The sequence below is a fragment of the Homo sapiens genome, chromosome 2 (assembly GCF_000001405.40).
Source record: "Homo sapiens chromosome 2, GRCh38.p14 Primary Assembly".
In the NCBI taxonomy this organism is placed as follows: Eukaryota; Metazoa; Chordata; class Mammalia; order Primates; family Hominidae; genus Homo; species Homo sapiens.
The window spans coordinates 11566138-11585636 of record NC_000002.12 but is presented as its reverse complement, the minus strand read 5'-3'; the positions used below and the strand labels follow the sequence as shown (position 1 = coordinate 11585636).

General features: G+C 50.3%; 1 protein-coding gene and 1 pseudogene across 27 annotated transcripts in view, besides 5 other annotated features; both read right to left on the bottom strand.

Annotated features, from left to right (window-relative positions):
* The window catches only part of GREB1 (growth regulating estrogen receptor binding 1), a 159901-nt gene that overhangs the window by 57152 nt on the left and 83250 nt on the right, over window positions 1-19499 (bottom strand). For all 27 annotated transcript variants that reach the window (XM_047446466.1, XM_024453251.2, XM_047446468.1 and 24 more), the window contains exons 4-8: window positions 18981-19157; window positions 9102-9284; window positions 7206-7340; window positions 4805-4933; window positions 363-476 (exon numbers count right to left, since the gene is read on the bottom strand). In XM_047446466.1, the coding sequence (XP_047302422.1) occupies window positions 363-476; window positions 4805-4933; window positions 7206-7340; window positions 9102-9284; window positions 18981-19157 (738 nt within the window). The remainder of the gene's footprint in view (window positions 1-362; window positions 477-4804; window positions 4934-7205; window positions 7341-9101; window positions 9285-18980; window positions 19158-19499) is intronic.
* RN7SL674P (RNA, 7SL, cytoplasmic 674, pseudogene) lies at window positions 665-864 on the bottom strand (annotated as a pseudogene).
* Window positions 1132-1221: a silencer, noted in NCBI's record as "silent region_11175". NCBI's record gives its function as "represses an Ori minimal core promoter by ATAC-STARR-seq in GM12878 lymphoblastoid cells {active_cell/tissue: GM12878}" and the evidence as "EXISTENCE:reporter gene assay evidence [ECO:0000049][PMID:35858748]".
* Window positions 2600-2894: an enhancer, noted in NCBI's record as "tiled region #7562; HepG2 Activating DNase unmatched - State 25:Art, and K562 Activating DNase unmatched - State 12:CtcfO". NCBI's record gives its function as "activates a minimal TATA promoter and a strong SV40 promoter by Sharpr-MPRA in HepG2 and K562 cells {active_cell/tissue: HepG2 | K562}" and the evidence as "EXISTENCE:reporter gene assay evidence [ECO:0000049][PMID:27701403]".
* Window positions 6019-6654: an enhancer, noted in NCBI's record as "H3K27ac-H3K4me1 hESC enhancer chr2:11719109-11719744 (GRCh37/hg19 assembly coordinates)". NCBI's record gives its function as "activates a minimal SCP1, AML or CMV promoter by ChIP-STARR-seq in naive H9 embryonic stem cells {active_cell/tissue: H9 hESC(naive)}" and the evidence as "EXISTENCE:reporter gene assay evidence [ECO:0000049][PMID:30033119]".
* Window positions 6655-7290: an enhancer, noted in NCBI's record as "H3K27ac-H3K4me1 hESC enhancer chr2:11718473-11719108 (GRCh37/hg19 assembly coordinates)". NCBI's record gives its function as "activates a minimal SCP1, AML or CMV promoter by ChIP-STARR-seq in naive H9 embryonic stem cells {active_cell/tissue: H9 hESC(naive)}" and the evidence as "EXISTENCE:reporter gene assay evidence [ECO:0000049][PMID:30033119]".
* Window positions 10656-11156: an enhancer, noted in NCBI's record as "H3K4me1 hESC enhancer chr2:11714607-11715107 (GRCh37/hg19 assembly coordinates)". NCBI's record gives its function as "activates a minimal SCP1, AML or CMV promoter by ChIP-STARR-seq in naive H9 embryonic stem cells {active_cell/tissue: H9 hESC(naive)}" and the evidence as "EXISTENCE:reporter gene assay evidence [ECO:0000049][PMID:30033119]".

Here is a 19499-nt window from a genome sequence, read left to right as displayed (position 1 = left end):
ACTCTTAGAGTCACAGATTCCTAAGGTCAACGGCACCTTTAAGTTCATTCCGCCCATCCTTCCCCCAGTAGTTCAGTCTCCTCTTCGATATCCCTGCCAAGTCATAAATAGCCCCTTTTAAAATTTCTCAAGGATCAGAGAACTCACTATCATACACGGATCCTAGACCTTGCAAAGCAATTTTAACATGTGAGAAAGAGGTCTTTTGTCACACCAAACTCTGCCTCCTTAGAACTCCCTCATCAGTACACACGCACATTCACACTCGTGCGCACGCACACACGCACACATACACACAACTGGCAGCAGCACTACCACCAGTACCCAAGTCTGGAATTCTGGGCAAGGCTGCCATCACTTACCATACTTAGCTCTGTTCCCACCACCTTGGGGGCAGCCACCATCTGGAGCTGATGGAGATTCTGGAGACCACCCTTTGTGGCGTTTTTTGGGGGGCCCGGAGTTTGACAAGATACCTAGACAATATTCAGAGTGTGGATTAGGCTATCACCAGGACAGGGCTCCAATAAAATTTACCCTTGGTTTGGAGAACAATGATCTGTTTTGTTTTGTTTTTTTTTTTCTAATCACAGATTCACGTGGGTTTTAAGGACCTAGTGAAATATCTATGCATAAGGAAATGTCAATTTTTGTAAATGTTTCATTCCGACCTGGACCGGTTCACCCCTCCTTAGGCAACCTGGTGGTCCTCCACTCCCGGGAGGTCACCATATTGATGCCAAACTTAGTGCGGACACCCGATCGGCATAGCGCACTACAGCCCAGAACTCCTGGACTCAAGCGATCCTCCAGCCTCAGCCTCCCAAGTAGCTGGGACTACAGGCACGCGCCACCGCGCCCGGCTGTAAATGTTTCATTCCAAAGTTGTGTGTGTGTCTAAACGATCTCTCTCTGAGCCCGAGCTCCTTCATCTTTAAAATAGGACACTAAATCCTACTCTGAAAGGTGGTTTGATCAGGACTAAAGAGAATGTATGTAGAGTGCTTTGTGCAACGAATTGTGGGGAGCTTGGACCCAATAAGGTAGCCAGAATTACCCACATCATCATCATCTTCACTACCATCATTATTGTTATCGACATATTCCAATACACTTCTGAAGGGCTGGAAGAGAGAAATATGTTTGTGCAGACAGGCGGCAGCAGTATTTGATCCACCACCACAGCTCCACCGCTTGGGGGCAGTACTGATCCACCTGTGCTCCCCTCCCTGCCCCAGCCTGGAAAGCTAATTTCAGACTCAAAAAAATCAAGTACAGAGCAGCGCATCCACTCCAATGAGTCATCCCCGCCCACTCTAGACAACAGCATGCTCATGACTCAAACTATCTTCGTGAATGGTTCAAAATATCAAGAATTGGTTTCCATAGTTTCTTGACTAACCAGACACAAAATTTCCCCTACATGCAGAGATTCATGTCTCAACTTCAACTGTACATTAAACTCAACCGGGAAACTTTTAAAACTCTGTCTGGATGCAATCTCATCCCAAGTAAACCAGAAGCCCAGCATGGGAGCAGGACCCAGGCATCCCAATATCTCAACGCTTCTTCTTGATTCTAACGCACAGCCCGGGTGGAGAAATACCAATCAGAGCAACGGTTCTCCAGGTGTGACCCGAGGCACTGCACAGAACCCCCATGGGCCTATTAAACCTGTGTGTCCCTGGGCCCTGCCTTGACCTCCAGAATCACATCTCTGGAAACGACAGTAAAAAAACACCATCCTTTGTAAGCCAGCCTGGTGATTTTTTTTTTCGAGACAGAGTCTCGCTCTTGTTGCCCAGGCTGGAGTGCAGTGGCGCGGCCTCAGCTCACTGCAACCTCTGCCTCCTGAGTTCAAGCGATTCTCCTGCCTCAGTCTCCCGAGTAGCTGGGATTACAAGCGCGCACCACCACACCCGGCCAATTTTTGTATTTTTAGTAGAGACAGGGTTTCACCGTGTTGGTCAGGCTGGTCTCAAACTCCTGACCTCAGGTGATCCGCCTGCTCAGCCTCCCAAAGTGCCGAGATTATAGGTGTGAGCCAATGCACCCGACCAGCCTGGTAATTTTTAAGCACGCTGCAGGGTGAGAATCATTGCTTTAGAGTCTCTCAAGAGTAAACAAAAAAAAAATTATCACTTCATTTGACTGACTGAAAGTAAACAAAAAGTTAAAAGCATAAAGTACTTTGTTTACAAAGAGCTTTCAAAGCCGTGGGCTCCTTTGGCCCTCCCAACAACCACTGACGCAGCTGCTGCTTTCCTCCTTCCTGTTTGCAGGGATGAGGCCTTAGACTCTGCAAACATCTGTCCCCAATTGCGATGGGAGACCCCCCACAGAGGCTAAGCAGCCAGCTCCTCTAAAAGCTCTACTGAACGACCAAAGGGGACAGGGCTTGGAATTGGATCTCAGTAAGGATTGAAGAGACGCAGATGTTTTCTCACTTTGGGAAGATAACCCTATAAATAGTTCTAAATAGACCCTAAGCCCGTGAGCTCTTCCCAAATGATGTCACCAGGAACTGCTCCCATGGTACCAATGTGGATCAACTATTTCTCAAAATGTCTCTTGGGGAGGTACTATTTGGCATTTTTTGGAGATGACTCATTATGTAGCCTGTTTGGTGCGGGACATTGTGCATCCTGCCCGCTCTGTCCCAGCACCAAATGCCAGTAAGACCCTGGGCCTGGGACAACAAATCCATCCTTTACCAGAACATTTCCTACCCCCGCCCCCAGGGGGCAGCACTTCTCCATTGCGAACCAGTGAGTGACAGGACTCTAGGCTTCAGTAAACTCCATGTGGTATTAGACGCAGTTTCTTAAAAATTGATTTTGAGCTCTCTCCCCAGAGCAGAGGAGAAGGCCCAGGAACTCCGACACTTCAGCTGTGCTCAACGCAACTCAACCCAGCCAGCGTCATGCCCTCTGGCGGAGCTCCCCAGCAGCTGGTACCAGCGGCTCCAAGATGCACATGACCAAGGCGCTGCCCTCGGGAACTGCACAGCGCCGAGGCCCCGATGGCCACATGTGGCTGCGGGACTGAGCCTGGGACGGCTGGGAGCCCCGTGAGCTCACAGGGGGCCCTCCTGCACAGAGCAGGTGCCCCCTGAACTAACCTCAGAAAGGCGATTTAATAGGCGGGTGGAGAGAGCAGCCCAGAGCCGGGACGCAGGCACAGAGCATGGAGACAGGAGGATGGGGCCATGGGGGTGGGGGAGCTCAACTGCCCAGGGTAGCCAAAATAGCAGGGAATGAGGTTCGGCAGGTGGGCTGGAGCCAGATTCTGGAACGGCTCGTGTTCCCCTAGGCAATTTGGAGGAGCTCCATCTCCCACACCCCTCCACGGAGCATGGCAAGGAAAATACAGTCAGTCCCACACAGAAGGCTTCCCAAGGCCACCTTCCCAGGTTCCCGGGCTGAAGGAGGCCCTCATCTCCCTGCTGTTCAGGGTGGAGGCTGGGGGTCCACAGACAGCCCAGAAGGGAGGCCGCAGCAGCGTGGCATCCCCAGCATCCTCATCCCCAGAGGTCCAGCTCTGCAGCCACAGGGTTGCCCCCAAATGCAGCACCGGCAGAGAAGCAGCAGTCCCTGGATGAAAGCAGAGGCTGCCTGGGGCTAGGCTGCTGCGGAGGACGGGACTCAGCTACTGCCTGGGTCTTGGCTGCTGTGGGTTTCGGACTCCAGGATGGAGGTGCTGGTTGGGAGGCCTCGGATTCTGTTCAGAAACTACCTTTGCCCCTTCAGTGAAGAGTTAGACAATTCACAAGATTTTCACCAGGGAGATCCTCCACCAGCACAGTGGAGTGGGAGCATGGAGACCTGCCTTGCCTCTCTGGACCTCTGTCTCCTCCTCTGTAAAACAGCGCTGGCCTAGATGGTTTCTAAGGGCTCCTCCAGTTTGATGTCTTAGATCTTCAAATCCAATTTAGCTGAGTGCATGATGGAGGAAAGAAAGACGAGAATGGCTTATGATGTGGCTCCAGATGAGCATGGTGGGGAGAGCACTGGACTGGGAGTCCACGAGCAGGTCCCCAGGTTGCTCCGCCCGTTCACAGCTCCCTCAAACCCTCCTCTGGCAGGAGGTCTGCTCAGCCCCTTCACTCACCCCTCTCATCCATATCCTCACCTCCTCATTCCCTCTTTGCTCCCTTTGTCCCTTTCCATCTCTACATGATGCTTCCCCAGCTTCTAAGTTGCAGCTCAGTTATCACCTCCTCCAGGAAGCCTTCCCTGAGCAGACGAGCCTCAGCAATGAGGCTGATTTGGATGAGAACAGCCGGTACCGATTAGTGAGCTGCCAGATGTGCTCTGACCTTTCATACAGCACCTCATCCCTCTTAACAACCCTTGGAGCAGAATTCTCATCTCCAGATGAAGAAACATTTATTGAGACTTGGCCAAGGTCCCCTGACTAACAAGAGACAGCGGTAGGTTTTGAATTCATATTTTTCTGATTCAGAAGCCCATGTTCTTCCCCAACAACACACTGCCCACTATTGCTCCAAAATTCTACCATCCTCCAGCTGTGCAGCCCATAGGACAGGTCACTCGCCATTACCACAGGTGTCTCACTGCTCCTTGGCACATACGGTAACTCCCAAGTGTCACTCATAGAGCACCAGGGCCTGGGCCCAGACCCACGGACTCAGGAGGCACCTGTGGTCCTGGCCTGACTCTCATGGAAGCCACATCAGACTCCAGGAGGCTCAGCGGCCCCAGCCCAGCAGCTCCCATGCCCCCTCTGGCCTTGGCCCAAAGAAGAGCAGGATCCCCAGGACGGCCAGGACAGGCAGAGCTACCTAAAGCCGATGGTCGCGGCAGGGCCAACAGGTTATTCTTTGCCAGTTGTTGGCACTTCGGGGAATCTTTGCCGTTGAAAACAGCCGGACCCATTGCTGCGTTTAGTGAGGGGTGATCAGAAGCTGGTCCTGAAAACAGATAGAAGGCAAAGAGGAGGGTCAGTTCACAAGAATGCCCTGGGAGCCAGGCAAGGAGGAAATCATTTTCCTTGCAGTTTCACAAACTAGCTTTTCCCCAGCAAGTCTCATCAGGAGGTCAGAATGCCCAACAGTGATTCTGCTACACTGAGAAGATACATGCAGACACATGCATACACACACACACCCCCATGCACGTGTACACACATACACACTTCTGCCTACACACAAGGATACACATGCACAAACATGTACACACATACACATGCACAAACACATGCCTATATACATGCACTCCCAGGAACATGCACCCTCCTGCTCACACCCCATTGGACACACAGCCTGAGTTAAAGAAGGACCGGGGGACTTCCTGAATTCCAGGACCACACCTGAAACTGTTCTGCTTCCTTCTACCTTCTCTCTCAAGACCTCTGGTTGATACGGTTTGGCTGTGTCCCCGCCCAAATTCCACTTTGAATTGCAGCTCCCATAATCCCCCTGTGTCGTGGGAGGGACCTGGCGGGAGGTAATTGAATCATGGGGGTGGTTTCCCCCATACTGTTCTCGTGATAGTGAAGAAGTCTCACGAGACCTGATGGTTTTATAAAGGGCAGTTCCCCTGCACATGCTCTCTTGACTGCCATCATGTAAGACGTGCCTTTGCTTCTCCTTTGCCTTTTGCCATGATTGTGAGGCCTCCACAGCCATGTAGAACTGTGAGTCCATTAAACCACTTTCTTTATAAATTACTCAGTCTTGGGAATGTCTTCATAGCAGTATGAAAATGGACTAATACATCTGGAGTCCAGGAGAGCAGTCGGGTTTGCAGCTACCTGGGCGCAGGCTGTTCATAGGGCCCAGGACTCCCCAGGTCTAAGGGTAATTCTGGGGACAATCATGGCTTCTGGTCTCCTGGGGCTGACGGAACTGCTTAAGTTGCTCATGTCAGCCAGAATGGTCTGGAAAGAGCTCGGGTCAGGAGTAGCACTGAATGTTTCCTGTGGGTTTAAGAGGCTGGCTCTGAAGCCAGATGACATGTGTTTGAGCCAGTTCCACCACCTCCCAGCTGTGTAACCCTGGACACTTACTTAACCTCCCTATGCCTCAGTGTTCTCATCTAGAAAATGGGGGTGGTCACTGTAGCAACTCAGAGCCACTGTGAGAATGACATGAGTTAGCAGAAGAAAGTGCCTGGAACAGTGCCTGGTGTGTAACACGCTTGGAGTACTTGCTCATACTATCGCCTTATTTAATTCTTACAATTGCCCTACAAATTAGACAGAAGAGATTTGCCCAACTTTACAGATGAGGAAATGGAGGTTCAGAGGTTTTGAGTTGCCCCAAATCACTCAGCTAAAAGGTAGCAGCACTGGAGCTTACACCCAGGCACCCTGACAGCAAAAACAGCAGGCTCTCCAGGCCATGATGGCAGAGGCACTGGGGGCCTGGGCATGGGGAAGCAGTGAGGAGCTCTGGGCCTCTGGAGGAGAGTACATCCCAGTCCCCTGCCCAGGCGATGGATGGGCCAGGTGGGTACAAGGGCACTGGCTCCCTCCCAGGGCCAATGTGCCTCTACAGACCCTCTGGGCAGGAGGCATGAAAACAACCAGCGACCTTCCTGCGTCCTCGGGAAGGCTGGTGTCCACCGTGATAACAATCGCCATGCTTAGGAAGTCTGTGCAACATGGTGAAGTGCCAAGCATGTACGTCAGGGTTCACATCTAATGTCACCTCTTGCCTCCACCTCCTCCGGCCCACGAGGTCCTAGGCAAGCACCCAGCCTCAATGAGCCTCACCTTCCCAATCAGTAAAATGTGGAAACTGACGCCTGCTCACAGCGTGGTTGTTGGACTTCAAGGCATTCATGGAGCTGGGGAGTGCTGAGCACGGGGTGAATGGCAGCAATCTGGTCTTTTCCACCCCTTCTAGCAATTCATTCAAACCCTGACTCAGCATCTTTACATAGAGAGCTCTATGCTGTGCGGGGGTTGGGGTGGGGGGTGCTGCAGAGGGATCCTGCATATGTCCCCACCAGGGGATCCCACTTCATATCAAACAGGAAGAAAGAAACTCCCAATGAAAAACCTAGCATTCTTTGTTGAAAAGTATTACAAATTCAAGATGAAAGTAAAGGTGTTATAGAAAAAGATAACAGCCCCCTGATTTATTTTGAAGAATGCTTGACGGCATAGTCAACCGGACACATCGGAGACAGTGCCAGCTCTGTGGGTTTAGCAGCTCTGGTGTGTCTCCACCACCTCACCTGCCTGCTGAGCTCCCATCAGGATGCTGGGGTTCGTCCCAGGAACGGGCTCGCTGGGGAAGGCAGCCGTGCTCTCCAGGGCTGGGAAGAGGGAACTGGAACAAGTACTGGCGGGGATCTGCCGGCTTCTAAACTCTAAGGGGGCAAGGTGCACACGTGAAAACCAACTCGCTCTTCTCCAACAACTACGAAATGAGTTCCTGGAGTGGAACGTGTCCTACAGGACAGTGAGCTATGGAGACAGCCACACAAGCTGCCACCACATCCTGGTCTTTGTTTCAGCGTGAAGCCAGGGCAGGGGTGCGACTCTCTACTTGTGGCTACGTGCCAAGGGGCAGCTCTGGTTGTCAAGAGTGGGAGCAATGGTGAGTATTTAGAAGAAAGGGAAAAATTACACAAATAAGTCACCCTACAGCTACCCGTAGCCATAGACGAGAGTGTTACTTGAAGATAAAGAAATGATACCATCTTCCACCCTTATTTCCTCCTCTGGGAAAGGCCATCCCCAGCGGCCAGTGAGGTGGGGAACCTCTGAGGTGCTTGGACCCAGCAGGTGATCAAAGACGGTGAACTGGTCCCACACGGGGCAGAACCACTGCAGCCTCTGGGCCTGAGAAATGACTGGCAAGTAGTAGGGGCTCAGGAGGCATTTACTGAACAAAACAAGAAAAGCAGAGAGGAAGGAAGAGTCGGGTGTGAGGGGGGCGTGCCCAGAGCCACCCAGCCTAAGGCCTCTTCCTTCTACTCCCAGGACCTGCCCGGGAGCGTCCGGAAGACAAGATGGGAACAAACACAGACAAGGGAGGGACACCTCACACCCCAGACTTGCCCTCCACCCATGGCAGGCCGCTGAGGATCCAGCCTCCTCCTCACCCTGCGTTGCTGACTGTGGCCATGAAGGGCAAAGCTGAGACAAAGAAGGGTGGGAGGGCAGCCTGCTCCCAACATTTCTGAAAGCTGCATCCCAATCACTTCTTCAGAGACCAGCAACGTGAAGCTGGTCTTTCTGGCCATAGTTTAGGGTTCAGGGGCTTGGGTGGGGCATTGTTCAAGCCAAGCTGTCTTAAGTCAGGTTCTCAGCCTTGGCACCAGTGACATTTGCAGGGGGCTTCTTTGTGCTCGGGGCCGTCCTGTGCACTGCAGAATATTCGGCCATACCCTGGTCCCTACCCCAGATGCTGGTGGCACCATCCAGTCATGACAATCAAACTTGTCTTGAGTTATGGCCACACGTTCCCTAGGGGACAAAAGTCACCCATGGTTGAGGATCACTTGGATGAACCACTCAATCTGGGGAGATGAGAACCACTGCCCCAAATACTTGCCATAGGAGGTAATGCACACTCTGGCCCTCTGTCAACGTTTTTTTTTTGTTCGTTTGTTTGTTTGTTTGTTTTGAGATGGAGTCGTGCTCTGCTGCCCAGGCTGGAGTGCAGTGGCACCATCTCAGCTCACTGCAACCTCCACCTCCCAGGTTCAAGTGATTCTCCTGCCTCAGCCTCCCGAGTAGCTGGGATTACAGGCGGGCACCACCATGGCCGGCTAACTTTTGTATTTTCAGTAGAGAAGGGTGTCACTGTGTTGGCCAGGCTGGTCTTGAACTCCTGACCTCAAGTGATCCCCTCACCTCAGCCTCCCTAAGTGCTGGGATTACAGGCGTGAGCCACCACAACTGGCCCTCTGTCGACTTTTAAACATCCCATCCAATTAGACTGTCACTGTCAACCAGCTTAACGCCCGTAACGCAAAGGAGCATTTTCCATTTCATAGGCCTGGCCTTTTGCCCGTGATGTGTGCTGCTATGCAGGGGCCTCTCCCCAGCATCACACCGACAGGCACCACGGCCCACTTGGGGGCCCAGCACTCCCATACCTCCTCCACAGCCAACCTGCTCACCTGAGCCTTTCCAACAGATTAAAGGTCCTTTGGTTAGAGTCCCTTGTGCATTACGGACCAGGTAATACTTCAAGTGTTTCTGCTTCTTGGGTTGAGTGGTCAGTTTCAGATTTATATGATTGGAGAATTCCGTGAAGTAACAGAAGCCTTTCTTTCCACAGCCAACACAATTCCCAGAGAAACCTGGAGAAGGAAGTAAACCATAAACATCTTTCTTTTTTTTTTTTTGAGATGAAGTCTCGTTCTTGTCATCTAGGCTGGAATGCAATGGTGCGATCTCGGCTCGCTGCAACCTCTATCTCCCAGGTTCAAGTGATTCTCCTGCTTCAGCCTCCTGAATAGCTGGGATTACAGGCATCTGCCACCGTGCCTAGCTGATTGTTTTGTATTTTTTAGTAGAGACGGGGTTTCACCATGTTGGCCAGGCTGGTCCTTTTCAAATAAGACAGAGTTCATCCAAACTCTGAAGGTTCACTTCCTGCACCACCAGCCAGAGAACGCCACAAGGCAAGCACCCCACCCTCTTAGACTAGCCCAGAGGTGAAGACGGCCTCAACTCGAATGAAAGAGGACCAGGAAGACTTAGTGATAGAGATGGGCCTGGGCAAACTTGGAAGATTTAACGTGCTTGAGGGCCCACTTAAACACCTATGTAGAGAGCAAACTTTGCAAGACAAGAGCCATCCCATTCCACTGTCTACACAGATCAGGCACCTGAAATGATGCGACAGGCTCTTATTTCCGTGGGGGTGGGTTAGTTACAGACTCTCAAAGCAATGTGACTAGTGAGATGGGCTACACTGGGAGACCTCCTAAGAGTCCAAAATTCCATCCTGCTATCAAGTTGATCCCGTGAGTTTCTGAAAAGAAATCAGGAGCGCTTCACAATATCTGGCCAGCATGCTGGTGAGTGAATTCCGTGGCTTAGCAGCCAGTGGATGGAGACACTCTGCTAGAATGTGACTATCTTGCTGCTGCTGGCCTCTGCACCAGGCCTACAACTGACTTTCTGGGAGGTGATGGAGGCTTCCATCAGCTGTGAGACTCTAAGCAGGCTTCCTACGCAGTGGCAACAACCAAACCACCTCCTGGAAGCTATTAAAATCCAGAGAATGTGCTTGAAAAGACCTTCATACACTGTAAAGCCTATTCAGACCATAGGCATTGGGAGCGTTGGTTAAGATGAGAAATGTGAAGACTGGGCTTCTGCCCAGGCTGACTGCTCTTATTTAAACGATCTTAAGACGGCCTTGTTTCACCCACTGGTATGTCTGGTTTCTTTGGGCTCAAAGGTCTTTGGCTGGGGAGATGCTGAAGCTAAGACTCATGTATCATATTCTCCATTTGATAAGTCTACAAAGGTCATCGTGCCTTAGGCCGTGAGGGCCACCCGGCTCTGTGTGTAACTCTGCTCTAAAACAGTTTCCCTAAGGTCTCTGGCTAGTGTTCAGAATAACTCCAGTTAGTGAAGGTTAAAAACATCTCCACAGATAAATAAGACATCTACATTACAGAGGCCTACAGGACTCCCTGATCTACTTTGAGCACATCTAGTCTTTCTCAAAAGGCGTTAGAAATAAGGACAGATCTCTTGGCCTCGCCATAGGACAGTTACAGGATAGTTTACCTTCCACAGTCCTATTCCCTCTGTGCCAGCACAAACAGTAAGGTCCTGGCATGAAATACTGTCCTCTCCATGTGCTCGCTTTCCATGGGACAGGCAGGGAACTAACACTCACAGGGAACCAGGGCCATTCTTGTCATTCATCTCAACCCACAAGTGACACAGGAGCCAGTCAACCTGGAGGGCAAGTCCTTCTTTGTGAAATCAGAGAACCAGAGAGGCCAATTGTTCAAATCCATAGGTACAGAAAGTGTGGCATTCAACTCCAGCCTGAGGATGATGTTCTCACCCACAGGCCTGGCATCCGAGGCTGCCCCAATGCCCCCTAGCCTTCATCTCCAGCTTTATTCCTGTCCTTCCTCTGATATGCTAATTCCCAGCTGGACTCCCCTGCCTTTCAACCCAGCCCGCTCCCACTGCCCTCCACCCACAGGCTCATCCTTTCCTCTGGGGGCCCCACCTGTACACCTCCAGCCCTCACTCAACATCCTGCTCCGACGCCTATTCCCAAGAGCCTTCTGTGACCCAAAGGCTGGCTGGCACTTTCTTCCAGACTCTTCCTGTAGCTCAGGGGCCTCTGAACATCCCAGTGATTGAAATTTGTGTCTTTTTCCCATCATTATTCCTCTAAGCTCGCAGCATGACTGCACGTGTGAGCTGTGTGTGTGCCAGTGTACAGGTACTGACTAATACCCAACACGTGGCAGGCAGCCGGTTAACATCGAGAGGGAAGAAAGAAGAGAGGAAACAGGGTAACTGTAAACACAGCCTGTTAGGGTTTCTGTAAGCACTCTGAAGGAATAACCTCATGTCTTTGTTTATTCCTTCACCTCCAACTTAGGGACGCTTGAGATAAACCCAGCTCAACTGCTGCCTAAGAACAAGGCCCGAAGAAACCTTCAGAGCTCCCTGGAAGGGCTTCTAAGCCTGGTGTTAAAAAGATGGATGAACAGGAAACAGAACTGCAAGAAACTAAGAGCAACTTGCCAAGGCCAGGCTGTCAAACCTCTCCAGAGACAGCTAAGCAGGTTACAGGCCTCTGTCCCATAAGAAACACGGGCTGGGGACCGTCGCTGTGCTGCAGAGGCCGTCTCCATCTCCTCCGCTGGGATGGGAAGCACAGGGAGCCCTTTGTGATTCAGAAATGAGGGTGGACACCCTGGGTCTTGCTGGTACAGGAAACATTTAGGGACTCAGCAAGCAAACTGCTTTTCTGCTTTGGCAAAAACTTTCTGGTCAGGAGACCCAGCTGCTCTTCTGTGAGGTGTCTTGGAGAGATAGCCACAGAGGCCAACCAAGAAAACCACAGACAGCTTCCCAACCGGCCCTGGGAGAGACCGGAAATGCCAACCCTCCAAGAAGGTATGGGAAAGGCAACAAAAATGTTCATGAGAAAGAGGAAAATAATGAGCCGTTCTCTTCAGAAATCTACCTTAGGACTTGAAAGTCTAGAAAGTTTTCTTTACATGATAGGCTTAGAAAGCATGGGATCCTGCCTGAAATCTCAAATTCCTGCCGGGTGTGGATATCCAGAATCGAAATTCTTCCTTCAGTGTCCTCACCATGGAAAACAGTCCATCTTAAACACGACTCTTGTCACCACGCACAGCCACACCCTGTGATTTTCCTGTGTCTAGTTCAGCAGCTGCAGGTAGCATTTGTTTAACAAGCACGTCCTGGGCGGCTATGTGTGCTGGCCACTGAGGAAGCCTCTCCCCTTCTGCTGAGAGGACAACTACATCCACTCCCCCAGCCCCTGCAAGGGAGTGTGCATAAGCCTGGATGTCTGAGGGGCCTGGGTTCAAATCCTAACTACAGTTAGGTGATGTGAGGCAGGTAACTAACACCTCTGAGCTTTGCTTTCCCCGTCTGTCAACAAGCCGACAACAGCGGCTTCATAGTGCACCTATCATGGGCCAGGCACTGTGCCAAGCACATTATAAACGTTCTCATTTAAACCTCATGAAGCCCAACAAAACAATCAGTAGCAGTGTCCCAGTTTACAGATGAAAACAGCAAGGCAGAGGGAGAAACAGAAACCCATCCATGGTACAGGGTGACCAAGCCACGGCTACAGGGTAGAAAGTGCTGGAGTTAGGATTTGAACCCATCTCCTCCCAAAAACCCACCTTGTAGGAGCACTATGCGGGTTAAGTGCCTACGAGATATCTAACATGTCAGGGGCACTCTGCAAGCATCCCTCCTTCCTCTACCCTGGACTAAGTGTATTAGGAAGGAGAGAGCACAGTGGGGGTCATGACACTCACATGTGGCCCTAGGGGAGCAAATATATAGCCCCCCACAACAGTGTGAGATGTGGAGGAAGCAGCTCCATTTCTCTGGGTTTCCATGTTCCAACCATCAAAGGGAAGGCTATGACTAAATCGGCCCTATGCCTCCTTCTAGGACCAAAGTGACATGATTCTTCTTGGAAGCATCCATAGGTGGCTTCCTTCAGACCCAGTGGTCTCTGAGCACTTGGCTCATAGCAGGCTGGAGATGGCCCAGGTTTACTGCTGGGGCCACTCCCTCTGCAGAGAGGAGTCCTCCCACAAAACCTCAGGGATGCCTCTAGAAGCCCACCTGCACCTGACCTTTCTTCTAGAACCACAGTCCAAGCAGATCTCGCTGACAGCCACTGCACCAGAGCTGGGAGCCACAGACCTGTCCCCCAGGCCTGATGCCTCCATCCAGTGCCTTCCCAGGAGAGTGGATGCTCAGAAGGGCCTTACTCTAGGCCACTGTCCCTGCGCAGAGGGCCACTTGGCCCTAGTCATCAACCCTCCATGAAAAAATGCAAATCTGACAAATACTTTTATGCACAAATATGTTTAGAAAGAAAATCTGATAGGAAACAAACCACATGCTCTGGGCAAGACATAGATTAAAAATGCATGGTTCGGCTGGGCGTGGTGGCTCACGCCTGTAATCCCAGCACTTTGGGAGGCGCAGGCAGGCGGAGCAGGAGGTCAGGAGATCCAGACCATCCTGGCTAACACAGTGAAACCCTGTCTCTACTAAAAATACAAAAAAATTAGCTGGGTGTGGTGGTGGGCGCCTGTAGTCCCAGCTACTCAGGAGGCTGAGGCAGGAGAATGGCGTGAACCCAGGAGGTGGAGCTTGCAGTGAGCCGACATCGCGCCACTGCACTCCAGCCTGGGAGACAGAGCGAGACTCCGTCTCAAAAAGAAAAAAAAAATGCATGGTTCATTAATTGGGTATTGTTTTTGGTTAAAAAAAGAAATGGTCCCTGTTAGGAAGAAGGAACAGACACAATTAAATAATCCCATGATTGAGGCAGAAGTACCGGTAGCAACGACAGTAGTTCCTCAAATTTGGGCAGCATTTTCGAGTTTATAAAGATCATCATATAAAGAGCGGAGTTATCCTCAAAACCGCAGTCAGGTACCGCGTACATCTTTATCCCCTTTATAGATGGCAAACCTGCAGCCCCAAGGCAGGAAGTACTTCTCTGCCAAGATGGGACTGGCTGTTCCAGCACAGTGTGCTGCAGAGAAGAATGAGGAAACAGCAGGAGTAATTTAGGAAGGCAATTCCAGGAAGACATCCTGGCAAGTGGGATTTAAATTGGGCCTGAACAGCAACTCTATGTTCCTTCCAAATAATGAGCCTTGAAAGCTCATGAGCTCAGACGAGCACACACTATACCTAGCAACTAATGACCACCCTCCCCGTGCCTGAAAATAAACAGTTACTTGGGACAAAAATAAGATCATCTTTGGCTCATTGTGTGCCATATTAATTGAAAAAAAGAAAAAACAAAACCTGGGGAACATTATTTTAAATCCCCACCTTGATGGAGAAAGGAAAAGACCATGGGAAAGGAAAACAACGTTTTATATATATATATATCCAGAGCCCCTGCCTTGGTATTTTGGCCAAACCCCAGCTCAAGTGTAGAAATGACCTCCTTGTGTTGGGGAAGCCTAAGGAGCCGTACCAGGATTCCAGGTGAGACAGGAAGTGGGGCAGGGGTCCCAGGTGTTCCCGCGGAAGATGAAGCACTCAGGGGTGGTAAATAGTATGATGTTGGGAGGTTTGAAACATATAATTCTCAGGCCATCGTACTCCTCTAGAATCCTGCAATAAGTTCATAACTAGTTCTTCTGCCTCAGTTTCTCCCTTTGCCTAAAAATCAATTGTGTATCTGACTTCTAAGAGATCTTCCTAAAACACAAATTAAAACAGTCATCTAAATTTAACATCTAACACTCTAAATATCCTTAAAAATATCAATTATAAGGGTAAAACTAGGGAGGAAGGACCTACACATAAAGAAAAATTGAAGAGATACAGCAACTAAATGCTTTAGAACTCCCTTGTCTGGATCTTGATACAAATGCACCAATTGCTTTAAAAAAAAAAAAGTATAAGATAACAATTCGAACACCCTGAATATTTGATAATATTAAATACCTGTTAAATCTTTTAGATATGATAATTGTATTGGATTTCTAATGAAAAGCCGTTATCTTTTTTTTTTTTTTTTAATGGAGTTTCACTCTTGTCGCCTAGACTGGAGTGAAATGGCTTCATCTCAGCTCACTGCAACCTCCCAGGTTCAAGTGATTTTCCTGTCTCAGCCTCCCGAGTAGCTGGGATTACAGGCATGTGCCACCACGGCCAGCTAATTTTTGTATTTTTAGTAGAGACAGGGTTTCACCACGCTGGCCAGGCTAGTCTCAAACTCCTGGCCTCAGGTGATCCACTCCCCGCAGCCTCCCAAAGTACTGGGATTACAGGCATGAGCCACCACACCTGGCCCCATTATCTTTTAGAGATAATGCCCTGCCGATATATTTACAGATGAAGTGATACAATGTCTGGGATTTGTTTCAAAATAATCCCAGAAAGGGAGAAGAGGGGGACATTATCAATGAAACAAGACTGGCCACGTGTTGGTAACCTTTAAAGAAGGCTAGATCACCTCATACCATGAGACTCTGTACTTCCATAGTTTGAAAATAGCTCCTTTTCCAAGCAGAACCCAGCTGGGCACCCCACCCCGCCACGCTCTCCACCAGCCTCCGCTCCAGCCACAGAGCACTCTCGCCACCTCTCCAGTGTGCCACGCTGTCATGTACAGGGAGGTCCCTCTGCTGAGATGCCCTTCATCCTCCAGGACCTGGGCACCAGGGCCAGACCCTCGGGGTTCAAACAGCAGGGTGGCCCTGAGCAAGTCAGTTAGCCTCTCTGTGCCTTCATCTCTGTATATAACTCTAGATAATAATAGACCCACTGCATTGGCTATTTTAACTTATTTCGTGCAGTTTCTGGCACACGATAAATGCTCAAAAAGTGCCGACTGCTATTAGTGCTTGGTTTCTGTTGCTGTTATTCTCCAATTGGCAGAATTCCACTCATTTTTCAGGGCCCAACTCAGATACCACATCCTCCCATTCCCATCCTCACTGGGAGCCGGTGTGCTCCTCCGATTGCCGGAGCACCTTACCGTCTCTGCTGGACCATGTCGCACATGGATGTATTGTAAGATTTACTGACAGAGTCGTTTGTTGTGGACTTCTAGGCTGATTCTTGGTGTGCCTGCATCCCCCCACCCAGCCCCTAGACGTAACTGAAGGTCCAGGCTTTCATTTCACGTTATATATTCCGTAAATGCATGCTGAATTCTTTGCATGCTGAATGAACAAAGGATTTGTTTACTCCCATCTAAGAAAAAACAATCTAGCGGAATATGTTTTCCTTTTTTATGTCTGAGCTGTCAACCCATTTAGATAAATTACCGGGCAATAAACTGAAACACACACCTAGATTTTAATCTTTCAGCTTTTTCAGATAAAATACCTGAGTTGATTAAAAGTCACAAAAACAAGTCTCCTAATACTGCTGCTTCCCTCAAGGTATTACCCAGCCTGTATTTTATAGATCACTAAAAAGCACTGAGCCCTGCCGCTGCAGGGCTGGAGCGGACCACCTTGTCCTGTATAGCCATCAGACTTAATTGCAGGAAACCTAAACAGTGTTAAGTATGCAAGCTGAGAGCATAAAGTTATTTTATTAAAAGAAGAAAGCAATGGTTATTACCAACCAGGCCTTGTCACCCATTTCAGATGGCTCTGGCAAGCAATTAACAAAGCTCCTACACTTCCTCTCCTCGATGAGCTGGCTCTGTTACTGGGCTGGTGGTGAAGGAACTGGAAGATCCTCCTCTCTGCGGGCCAACAGGCAGAGCCTCCTTGATTTACTACCCTGGCAATTCCTTTACAGTCACAAAGTGGTGGGATCCAGATGAATCCCCGGCCACCGCCAGATCAAACGCTAAGGTGGCCACCAGGCATGGCCTCGCGTACTCACTTTCATCCTGGGCGACTGTCGTAAGCGTTCAGTCTGTCATTGAATTATTCCATCAGCTTCTTTGCTAGAGTGGGTTTTCTGGAATGGTTCTGTTTTAGAGAACTAGTTACAGTGACTCCATGAGCCTGCCTCAAAAGAGTTGGCCAAAATGTTTTCTCTCCTTCATCACTGTCTAGTGGTGCTGTCCCTCGAGTGAGCATTCACCTGCCTCGTGTCAGAGTTCACACACGTGTGTGTCCCCAGCGCCTCTGTGGCAGGAACCATTGCGTTTTCTTCTCCCCTCTCTCCATTCTTCATCCTTTGCACAGCTTCTCAGACATACAGTGTGCTCAGTAACTACCCGTGGAGTGAGTTTATCCTCCCAGCTTTTGGAACTGTATCAAGCGCAAAACTGGAGGCTTCAAGGTCTATACTCATGGAAAATATGTAAGAAATTGTGGGGGTTTTCAACTTAGAAGTTTTTCCCATAAATTCTCACAATCAAATTTGCTTCTGCATGAAGACCGTTCCTGAGGCTACATCTGAAGTGGATTATTACCAATCCTGCCTCCTGCCCAGATTTCCTCCAAAGAAGATGCCAGGCCAGACGGAGGGGCCGGACCCACAGTCACGGGATGAGAACAGACTGCCAAAGGGCCAGGGCACATGTGGAAGTCACCTCCCCGCTTCATGGATGAGGACGCAGAAGCCCAGGGGGATACACAGGGACCTGTGGGCAGATGCAGGGCAGGAACCCAGATCCCCGGGCTCTCAGTCCACACCTCAGGTGTCCCTAGATTTTACTCCACAATGGGGGAGCCTGCTGAGTGATGGCCCGGCACACAGTAAGAACTCAATTACATCATATGAGCAAAGGCAGCCAGGCTTGGCAAGGCCTGGCCTCAGCTCTGCACTCAGAGCCTTAGTGGGCCAGCGGTTGTTGGAAAGATCAAAGGCTAGTGGTGCCGGTGGCTGGAAGGGAAAACGGTGGCTCCCCCACCTTGACCTTGACCACAACATGGTCAAGACCACGTGGGATGGTACCGGGTAGAATCTGGAGCCAGGAAGACTTGGGTTTGAATCCTGGCTCTGTCCTCTTTACTCACGCGGCCTTGAGCAATTTAACAGATCCAAGCTCACCTATAAAACTGGGGTAATAAAGACCACCTCTTGGCTGGGCGTGGTGGCTCATGCTTGTAATCCCAGGACTTTGGGAGGCCAAGGTGGGCAGATCACTTGAGGCCAGGAGTTCGAGACCAGCCTGGCCAACATGGTGAAACCCCATCTCTACTAAAAATACAAAAATTAGCCGGATGTGGTGGTGCACACCTGTAATACCAGCTATTTGGTTGGCTGAGGCAGGAGAATCACTTGAACCCAGGAGGTGGGGGTCGCAGTGAGCTGAGACAGTAAACACTGCACTCCAGCCTGGGCGACAGAGAGAGACTCTGTCTCAAAATAAATAAACAAACAAACAAGCAAACAAACAGACCATGTATTGAGAGATGAGTGATAAACCAAAGGGGAAAACAGATACAGGGTGCCTGGCAGTCCTTCAGGACAGAACATTCTGGAAGCAGCAACACACTCGGCCTCATTCTCCTCTGCCTCTGTAGGCTGTTTCTGAGACTGCCTAGGACAGGGTTTGTCACCCATTCTTGACACAAGCAGGCACTTAAGGAGGTTTGAGGAATAAATGTATGAAAAATGAATGCTAAATGGTGAGCTTTCTGCAGGGATGCAGTCATACTGTAAATGCATCTCATTTGCATTCCATTCCACAAAGAACTCATCTACCAAAAAACAGAAACAGGGCTGCATGCTGCGCCTGGGGTCCCAAAGATGGTCCCTCTGTTGCCACCACCCCCCGCCGTGACCTCCCTTGACCCTGCTCTACCCCATGCAGAAGGAGCCACAGAGGATGACAAAGCAGTACTTACCAAGAAGAGCATTGTGGCCATTGTCATCTGGCAAGAACCTCTTGTCAACGGCGCACACCAGGAGATGGTCCGGCAGGCTGGGGGACTTGACCCCCACGAGGAGAAAGCCCGCAGGGACATCCATGGGCTCGTTGGAAATGGAGACAAGGCGCAGGTCCTTCCCGGCCTGGCAAAACCCTAGGAGGGGTGGACAGGGTTCACACGCTGCCCAGGGCTTCCCAGAAGCGGGGTCACAGGGGCAAAGGGAGGAAACGTTCTGGGTCTGCTCAGGAGAAACCCTTACCCCTGGGTGTGCTTGACCTCAAAATTAATCCTGAGAGATAGAACTATAATCTTAGTTGGCTGGGCATGGTAGCTCACGCCTGTAATCCCAGCACTTTGGGAAGCCAAGTCGGGAGGATCACTTGAGGTCAGGAGTTCAAGACCAGCCTGGCCAATGTAGTGAAACCCCATCTACTAAAAATACAAAAATTAGCCAGGCGTAGTGGCACACACCTGCAATCCCAGCTACTCGTCAGG